The sequence below is a fragment of the Homo sapiens genome, chromosome 2 (genome assembly GCF_000001405.40).
Source record: "Homo sapiens chromosome 2, GRCh38.p14 Primary Assembly".
In the NCBI taxonomy this organism is placed as follows: Eukaryota; Metazoa; Chordata; class Mammalia; order Primates; family Hominidae; genus Homo; species Homo sapiens.
In genome coordinates this window covers 16,928,817-16,938,759 of record NC_000002.12, presented here as the reverse complement: position 1 = coordinate 16,938,759, position 9,943 = coordinate 16,928,817, and the positions used below count along the sequence as shown (strand labels likewise).

The 9,943-nt window shown below is 38.7% G+C and overlaps 1 annotated feature.

Moving 5' to 3' along the window:
- Window positions 7,013–7,219: a silencer, noted in NCBI's record as "fragment chr2:17112808-17113014 (GRCh37/hg19 assembly coordinates)". NCBI's record gives its function as "represses an EF-1alpha promoter that drives an FKBP-Casp9 reporter gene in an ReSE screen in HepG2 liver carcinoma cells {active_cell/tissue: HepG2}" and the evidence as "EXISTENCE:reporter gene assay evidence [ECO:0000049][PMID:32094911]".

The following is a 9,943-nucleotide window of genomic DNA, read 5'->3' as shown; positions in this document are numbered from 1 at the left end:
TGTATTATAATATCTGCCACTGGTGATTATTGTGTTTTTTCACAGGAAAGAGGAGGAGAAACCTTTAAGCTTAGCAAATATCTGTCTTGAGTGGTTCTGTGAAAAGCTGGAATATCCTTCCTGCTATTAGCCAGTAGAACTGCTTTAGTAGAAACCAAAATGAGATTTTATCCATTGTAGAATAAATCTCCAATTATTCCTGTCAGAAATCTCACTCCCCACTCACCTACGATACAAACAAATAACAAAAAAAAAACTTAACAGTCAATATGCTTAGGTGAGAATTTTACTTAGTCCTGAATTCTCAAGAAAATGAACCAAAAAGAGATGAGTATGAGGTGCTGAAAACAAAAGACTATGATAAAGACACCTCCTTTCAAAATAAGTTCGGAGTTTGTTGTTGTTTGTTTGTTTTGCTTTGTTTTGGAACACTTCTATCTGAGGAGCTCTTTTCCTGGAATAATGAACCATATTTGCTTATTTTCTTATATTGTTTGTGTATGTGTGACTATGTGTGCACACACGTGTGAACTTATTTTTCGTTTTGATGTATGTGCTTCTTGTGGGAAAGTCATCATTTTTCAAAATACTCAATATGCAGAACAATTGTCAATAGGAACATGGAGAACATGGTCATTTGCTCCAAAAACTCTGAAATCTTTAATCTCCATTTATCTGTGTAATGACTTGAGATTTTGATTTCCACAAACTCAAATTTGTGATGTTATCTAGGGATTTTGCCCATGAACTTTAATACAGCATTCTTTGACTCAGCCTTCTCTGCTCACTTCCTGGTTCAAACTTCACTTCGTGACCCCACATCCCTATTTGGATGATGTCTCCTAAAGCTCCTGCACAAACCAAGTTATTGATTACTCAGACAGGGTCTTTCCATTGCCTCAGCCCCACTCCCCTGTCCCAGTACCTTGGGGTGACAAATCAATGGGTATAATTGTATATAGAAGCAGATGCAAATAATAGGAAGGCTGCATTATTTGAGCTTCTATTCCAGATTCCTGTCCAAGGTGATTCAACAAGAGTTTTCAGCCCATAAGGAAAAGTAGTAGGATTCCATTTGCATTACAATAACTAGATCAAGACTAGGCTCATAGCCCAGAATTAAACTTCAAGCTAACCCAACTCACAAAGGCTTGCTTCCTATCTATAACTGCTTCTGCACCTTACACACCTGAGGGGAAAGCAACCTACCTTCTGAGTGTGTCACTTATGTTGGCAAATGGCTCCTTTATAAAGCCATGGGAGACATATATTTAGTGTAGGGGTAGTTGCATGACTAGAGTAATTTTAAGCAAATTGCTTTTAAAATTTCTTCATTTCAGCAGTCCTGTAAAACCAATAAGTATTACAGAGAATTATTTTGCCCGTGTAGTACTAGAATGGGCCAGGTACCTATACTGATAGCTTTAAAATATGGGCCCAGAAGAATGTCAAAATTTGCCTAGAGTCAAGCCTTCCCCTCCCTCCCTCCCTCCGTCCTTTCCCTCCTTCCCTCCTTCCCTTCCTTCCTTCCTTCCTTCTTTCCGTCCTTTTCCTTTCTTCCCTTTTTCCTTCCTTCTTTTTCTTCTTCTTCCTCCTCTTCCTCTTCCCCCTCTCCTCTCTCTTTCTCTCCATGTCTACAGTAGAGAAAAGTGCCAGATAAAATTTCAAGTGATAGAGGAGAAAGTGCTGCTCCAAGAGATACAAGACTATCCAAAAAGAAGAGAAGATAACTGACAAAGGAAAAGAAAACTTAGTCACCTCCCATTCTGTCAGCAAGAAAAGTATTCTGTAAATTACCTATGTTTTCAAAGAGACAGAAAAGACTGCATATAGCTGATGGTTGCTGTTGGTTGAAGAGACCCAGAAGGGAGGAGTGGAGACAGCAGTGCTGTCCCTGAGATATAGTCATGGCAGGGGAGTAGACTTGAAACAAACTCTTTCAGAGTCAGCTAAGCTAGCACTGTGGGGAAGAAGGACAGTAAGGTTTTGTAACCTTGGAAAACTAACCATTGAGTTAAAAGTTAAACCTTGTCTTTCAATTAAAATTTTTTCTCTAGTTCTGCTGTATTTCTAGCATCCTGAGAGTGCTGAGGACATTTGGGGGATATCATCCTAGCCACATGAAACTAAAATATCATCTTTGTAGATTGATTGGAAGTTGTACTAAGAAACATTCCATAGTTTTATAAAACTCAGATCTCCCTGAATATGAGTCACGCAGACTCACTTAGCAGAGGTAGCATTCTATCAAGGGTGACAGGCTGGATTGCACTCAGGCCACAGATATAAAAATATTTGATTCAGACATGGCATGGTTTACTCTTGAATTTAAAATTTTAATTTGAATGTTCCTTTTGCAATGAATAAATGCCCCAAATCTAGTTTTTACAAGCATATGGCAATGTCTCTCACACAAGTTTTCAGTCTCTCACAGGCTGTGAGAGTTAATAGCAATAGAAACAACAACTTCTTGGTGTTTTTAATGGTTTACACAATTCTTTCACATATATTATTTCTTAAGACTTTTATAACAACCCTATGTGGTAGGCAGAGCAGGGAATATAATTATCCCCCTTTCACGCTTGTGGGAAATGTGGCCCAGGCTGATTAAACAGACAGCCCAATGTCACGTCATGGGTTGTTGATGGGGCCAGACAAAAGATCCAGATTGCAGCTGTTGGTTCCAGTGTTCAAATCATTCCACCATGGTGCTGTGACAGGGCTCTGTTGTTCAGCCTCCTCTTGAGAGTAAATTTAAAATTCTTTAAATCACAAAGACCATATGTACTTATCTTCAGTAATAACATCAGACCAGGAGAATAGATAAAATGTGAAAGACTACTTTGCCAGGCTTTAGGAGTGATTGCAGTGAAGGCCCCTCAGAAGACACAAGGAAAACAAGTTGAAACTCTCACCTACCACAGAGAGAAAGGAAAGTTCTGGTGCCTGCTTGAGCTGAAAAGTCACTGAATCATCTGCATACATTTAATTAGAAGACAGAAAAAAAGAGTTTTAATGGTTATGACTGGCTGTCAAGTGATATATTCAAGCAAACGTCTAGACAACCATATTCTCCACCCAGTGCCATCTCCTGTCAGCTATGTTCCCAGTTTCCATTATCTCATACAGGTTCAAGGTTGCTTCTGCACCAGAAGTGGCTGTTGCCTTAACAGAAACACCAGATTCCTTCCCAGCATGAGTATGACGTCTGTTCATGAGGCCATGATTTAGTTTGTTCCTTTAAGTTCTTGTGTTGATAGGCTAGGCTGACATAACTGGGGTTGTGGAAGTCAGTTTCCTAGTGTAGGAACACTAAAGAACTTCTGTGCCAAGGTTCTCTTACTTGCTTACTGTTCTTAGTTGCCACCCAGCAAAATAACTCATGGTCCTAACAGTGCTGAACTACTGAAATAATAATAAGTAATTACATTTTTTCAACAAGTATTTACTGAGTGCTTACTATGTTCCAAGCACTGTTCAAAGGGCATTATGCATATTTATTCATTTAATTTTCACAACAGAATGAGACAGTTTTAGTTATTATGATCCCCATTCTGTAAATGGAGAAACTGAAGCACAGAAAAGTTAATTTGCCAAGGTTACCTGCTAGTATTGGGGAATCCAGGATTCCAAAACCAGGCAGTCTGAATCCAAAGGATCTGAATAACAACAGGACATAGAAACCTATCTCGGGTATTACTGGAGAACCTAGAACAAGAGTTTTCAACCTTCTGGGACAGGAGAATTCCCTCAGCCAATGTGATCTGATTTCCTAAATGAAAATACAGGATTCTGTTAAATTTGAATTTCAGGTAAACAACTTTTTTTTTCTAGAATAAATATGTCCCATGGAATATTTGGGACTTATCTGAAAAAGTATTATTTATCTGAAACCCAAATTTAACTGGGTGTTCTGTACTTTGGCAACCTAGCCACCACTGCCACCCTGGTTCACAAGTCTATTCTCCTTACGTTTTTAGAGTTGGGCTGTTGGAGTGTTCTGGTTATAGTTAGATCATCTCAAAGGTGTTTTCTTATCAATTTAGATAGGTAAGGCCAACTAAATTGAACCCTCTGGGGTTTCTTCATAAGCCTTCATGGTGAGCTTGAGATCTCCTGATAACTCATCCTTCCCATTCCCCCCTCCCAAGTAAGCTTCCTGAGAGATGGGACGTCTTTGCACTCAGGCAAGGAAATACCTCGAAGGGGGTGCCCTGGACAAAGTTGTCTTTGCTCCTCATCTCATATGCAGTTTTCCCTAAAATGAGATTCATCACCAGCCAAAGCTTCCAAGTGTTGAGCCTCTTTTCTATTCAGCAGCTATCAATGTTTAGAATCTTACCCTAGTCCAGTTTCCTTTCCTGTCTCTTTAGAAGTTGCTGTGAGCTATGAGAATATGATCTTGGCCTCCCGTCCATTTTTAATCACTCCAAAGCCAACCTCCTGTCACGTGTGAAATTTTCCAGGAAGTTTTTACCTTCCAACCCAGTTGGTCGGTTCTGCACTCCATTCCCTGACAAGTAAATTCCCTGTGGCCCTTCTCAGAAATGGGTGTATTATGTGTCAACAGAGACTTATGCCATTGCCACCATTTCAGTAAGAATTTCTAAATTCTAAAGAATTTCTGAGTTTCTACCCTTCACTTTTAGGCCAAGACCACCCAAGGTTTTTACACTGAGCATACAGTGAGCACCCAGGAACTGCTTAGAATCACAAGGAAGGAGCTCTTGTGTGAAAGAACTTGGCTGATGTTTAAGTTTCTTGACAGGCAGTGGCAATTAGGGAAAAGTGATCTCCAGACATGTTCCTACGGAACAATTGGTAGAAAGGTTGGCATCTTACTGGCACACTTCTGGGGTGATTTTTGCTATCATAAAGAGGCAAAGTAAGAACTAGGGATAGCAAGAGCTCTTCTAAAAGTATAAGGCCCAAGATCTGCATCCCTAGACGTGTCAACAGATCTGAATATTTAAAAACTTTATTCGGAAACTATTTCTCTCTTTTCTGAGGGAAAGAGGGCAATGAAATTGCAGAAGTAGAATATTAGTTTTCTGTCACGTTTAAAACCTTTTCAAGTTGGCTAATTAAATTATACCTTCCAACAGAGAATGCAAACACAATTTCAGGTTCTAATCTCTCGGTAATCAAGTGTTCTATTATTAATGTCCTCTTCCTTTTTCAGGGCTTAATTGCTCATTGTACTACATGTGGCATTGATTAGCAGTAGCAAGAGTGTGTTCTGTTTTGTTGGCTTGTGAGAAAAGGGACTATAAAAAGGCACTGAATCAGAAAGCAAGCTCTATCCAGCTGTGATATGGTGTGCGGGGGGTTTATGTCTGAGGAAGCGAAGCCAGCCAGCTTGTTAAGTTAGAAATAACAGCATAAAGTTCTATATTAGCCTGTAAAATAAATATTCTCAATCAAACCTAACCTAAAAGTCACAGAGAGGTTTTCACATCAATGATTTGTGCAGAGATTTACAGTTTATAACACACTTTTCTGCGGGTATCATTTTGGTTAAACTAGACCATGAATCTGTGAGTTAAACATTTTTATCTAGATTTTACATACAAAAAGGCTGATGCTGAGTAAGGTTAGGTAACCTTTGTCAGGTCACATAGTTGATGTGAAGAAGGTGATGCCTGAACACAGGCGTTGCAATTTCAAACTTTGTGCTCTTTCCATTGTATTACACTGTCTCCCAGCAACAAGGAGTCGATTCAATATAATTCAAACATTTACTGGGTCAATACCATGTTCCATAAATTAAGCTGGGTGCTACAAAGGACTAAGGAAATATTGACAGACACAGACAGCTATAACAAGACACATGTTTGACCATGATGTGTTGTATTACAAATACAAGGTCCCGAAGATTCAATGAAGAAAAAGGTACTCAAGAAGGAATAAGCCTTCAGAGAAAGAACTATTTCAGTGAGCCTTTGAAAGATAAAACACATTTTGACAGTCAGAAAAGGGGGAAGAGGGAAGGTTCAGCGAGGGATCTAATAAAGCTTGGTGGTAAGAAATTTTGCATTGGGGAAAATGTGACAACGCAATTTATGAGATTGTAAGGTACAGTAGAAACAAAGATTGACATGTGAATTTGATTCACAAAAAGAAATTTAACTTTATTATGTAAACAACAAAACTTTGATTAGTTCTCCCAAAATATCACTAGCACAGAGTTTTCAAAATGACTTTTTTTTTCTTTCTAAATGTCAGGGGAAGAGGGCCATGAAACACAAGTGTCAGCCACTAAGACACACTTGGGGTATGACTTTGTGCTTGAACAAAACTCCTCTAACAGGAATGTGTATTGTATGAGTAGAGGCCCAATAACAAGGCCACAATCACTTTGTCACCAGTACCTGGAACTTCCCATTCTGGGTAGAATTTCCTTTCCAAGATCTGGACCAGATAATCTCCATGATTACCTCCAACTCCAAACTTCTGTTCCATATTTTAATAACTTAAGCCAGCTTTTGGGAAGGCAAAGTTAATTAATTCACTTTGTTTCTGACTGCTCAGGACTCACTGAGTTTTGAAGGAAGGAAGGCATTAAGACCAAGGAAATAATTTCTCAGGAGAAGCCCCATTAATTACAGCTCTGCTTATATATACATTACCAGATTGACACACCTTCCTGGGCCATCTGTGCTCTGCTCTCTTTCAGTGATGAGCCTGGTATAATTAAAAGCACTTTCCGTTTTTATGATTTTGGGTAGACGATCAAGATGATAGAGAACAGTATCTTTTTACCAACTTTTCTTAACAATTTTCTATTCCTGTTTTCATTTCTTCCCCAGATGCAAATGAGTTCCACACTTTGTGTATTCCTACTCCAAATATGTATCAGAAGGAAACCAGGAGAAAGATCAAAACCTAGAGATCTACAGGTTCCAGGCTGTTGTAATCTTTTTCTCTGATCCCTACAGGTGTTCCCCTACTGTGGATAGGACAGACTCCACAATTTCTGGCGTTTGCTGATTACTAAGTTATTAATTAAATGTTTCTTTCTCCTAAGCATTCATTGTTATAGTAGGTAGCTAGCCAGGCATGCGCAGGGCAGGAGAGGGCTCTCCCTGACTGACACATGCAGCAGCAATGCCAGGTGACAATGAGGTGATGGCCAGGCGGTTGTTAACTGTCTCTCTGGTCACAGCCAGTACCAGGGAAATGCAGTCTCCCAGTAGACAGAAACAGCTGAAACTGGTGATCAGCAGCTTCCTAATGAGATCTCAAGAGCTGGGCAAGCAAGTGGGCTCATGCATGCACACTAAGAGGCAAAACGGTGGAGTTTAACTGGTATATGACCTTCTAGGAACATTTGACTCTTAAAGGAAGAATGTCTCAAGTGAGTATGCGCACAACTCCAGTAAACACACTGCATGTGGCCCCTCCCAAGTGCTGGTAGGCTACCGTGCATGCGGACAGCCCACCACCACCACAAGGGAAGAATAGGGGAGAAGGGACACAAAACTCCAGAAGTATGCCAACATATAAAACCTCAAGTAAAAGGTTAAACAGGGCATTTGACTCTCTCAAGTTGCCAGCATGACCTTCTTCCAAATGTACTTTACTTCCTTTCGTCTCTGCCCTAAAACTTTTTAATACTTTCTCTCCTGCTCTAAAACTTGCCTCAATCTCTCACTCTGCCTTATGCCCCCTCAGTTGAATTCTTTCTTCTGAAGAGGTAAGAATTGAGTTTGATGCAGACCTGTACAGAATCGCCACTGGTAACACCATCCATCTCCTAAGGGTGGGAGATCACGGGTAATAAAAGGTAGCATAAAATAGTAGTTAAATGCATAGACTCTGGATCAGACTATGTGCAGATTGTAGTTAGTGTGTGATTTTGACAGGCACTTAATTTTCCTGTGCCTGTTTTTTCATCTCCAAATGGGATGGTGAGATCAGTAACTTTTTCTAGGTTTCTTATGTATTCAATAAATTAATATATAGGTAAACGACTCAAAACAGTAGCCTGGCACAGAAAAAAGACTTTATACATTTTAGTCACTTTACAATTATTAGTTTACAATATTCATCTTTTTATAGAATAATTGGCCAAGAATGCCAATAACTGGAATAAAAAGTAGAATATGGCAAATATAAATTGTGAATTTAGTAAATACAGCAATAAGACAATTAAAATAGCTTAAAATAGGACATCAAGAAAGAGTTTACAAAGGAAAGAATATTTGAATAAATGCTTAATGGATCTATGTTCCAATCTCTTTAATTTAAAAGTCCTGAGGATACGTCTGATGTCATTTTGTCTTGCTGCATTCATCTCATGGATAGCTAAGGTCTTCAAATCATGTGCCATTATTTGGGGGCTCTGTTCCTATAGAAATCAAGGAGCTCTTGAACTTACCAAATAATTTCTGTGTTAAAGGTGAAAGTTAGAGTATTTTAATAATTTCTACTGTACCTGTGCTATTATTAGGTTGGTGCAAAAGTGATTGCAGTTTTTGCCAAAATTGGATGAATTTTGCACCTATCTAATAAAATGAAAACACAGCTTAAAGAGACCAGCATAATTTTTTCTTTCCTTTCTGAGAGATGATGCATTTTTTTCTGCCCTTTAAAAAAGAAAATGACTATTCATTATTTTTGTCATGCTTTTAAAAAGTCTCCCACATTAGTGCTGGTATAGCAGTACAAGTTTTCATCCAAATATACCATGTCTTCCTATTTTCATCACTACTATGGAAACTAAAATTTCAAATTTCACTGATTTTGCTCTAAGAAAGTCATCACCCTTTTCAGTCTACAGTAAACCTGTGATAAACCCTGCATGGTCACCTCTCTATCTTCCTCTCCATTCTCCCTGTCACTTCTTGAGTTTAGACCTCCATTGTGTCTCATTTGAATCTTTATGAGAATTTCCTAAATATCCATCTAGTTTATTTTCCATAGTACTGTTATCTTTATAGTATAACATCTGATTGAATCACTCTCAAAATCCCTTGAAGTTCCCTGTCTTCTGTCAGGGGCACTCCCAAGCTGCATAGCACAGCATACAATACATTTCCATTTTAACTCCAACTAATCTTACCAGCTGCATATCCCAGTATGCCAGCCTACACACCCTGTGTCCCAATAATACTTTCATTTTTACCTTTTCTAAACACAGCATATATTCAAACTATTTTCATCATGTAGAATGTATCTGCCTGGTGAGCTTGTCTTCGTCTTTTAACAAACACTTCAAATATCATTTAATCAGTGGAAATTTTCCGAGATGTCCCCAAACACATAGTTGCTATTGACACTGCTGGGTTGCACTTCATATACTGTATTGCTTAAATTTGGATGACTATATGAGCAAGGACAATCATATTTCATATGTTGTTTCATCATTTATATTGTTATATTTGTATATTATCTATATAGGTCCTTTGCTTTTCTATTCTATTGATGGCCTTTTTCTTATTGATTTGAAAGACCTCTTTATACATTAAGAAAATCAATCAATTTTTTTTGAGACGGGGTCTCACTCTGTCACTCAGGCTGGATCATAGTCACTGTAACCTTGAGCTTCTGAGCTCAATCAATCCTCCCCACAAGCCTCTGCAGTAGCTAAGACTACAGGCGTGCACCACCATGCACAGCTAATTTTTTAATTTTTTTCAGAGAAAGGGTCTCACTATGTTGCCCAGGCTGGTCTTGCTCTCCTGGACTCAAGAAATCCTCCTGCCTTGGCCTCCCAAAGCACTGGGATTACAGGCATGAGCCACCATGCCCAGCCAAGAAAATTAATCTTTGTAATAAGATTACAAGTAATGTTTTTCAGGTGGTCATCTGCCTTTTTTATTTATGTAATTTTGTATATTTCTACAAATTATGGAGTTAAATATATCAAACTTATTCTGCCATGTGAATTGGATTATTTGTTCAATAGTTTGCCTTCATTGTTACATAGTGAGCTCTTTTG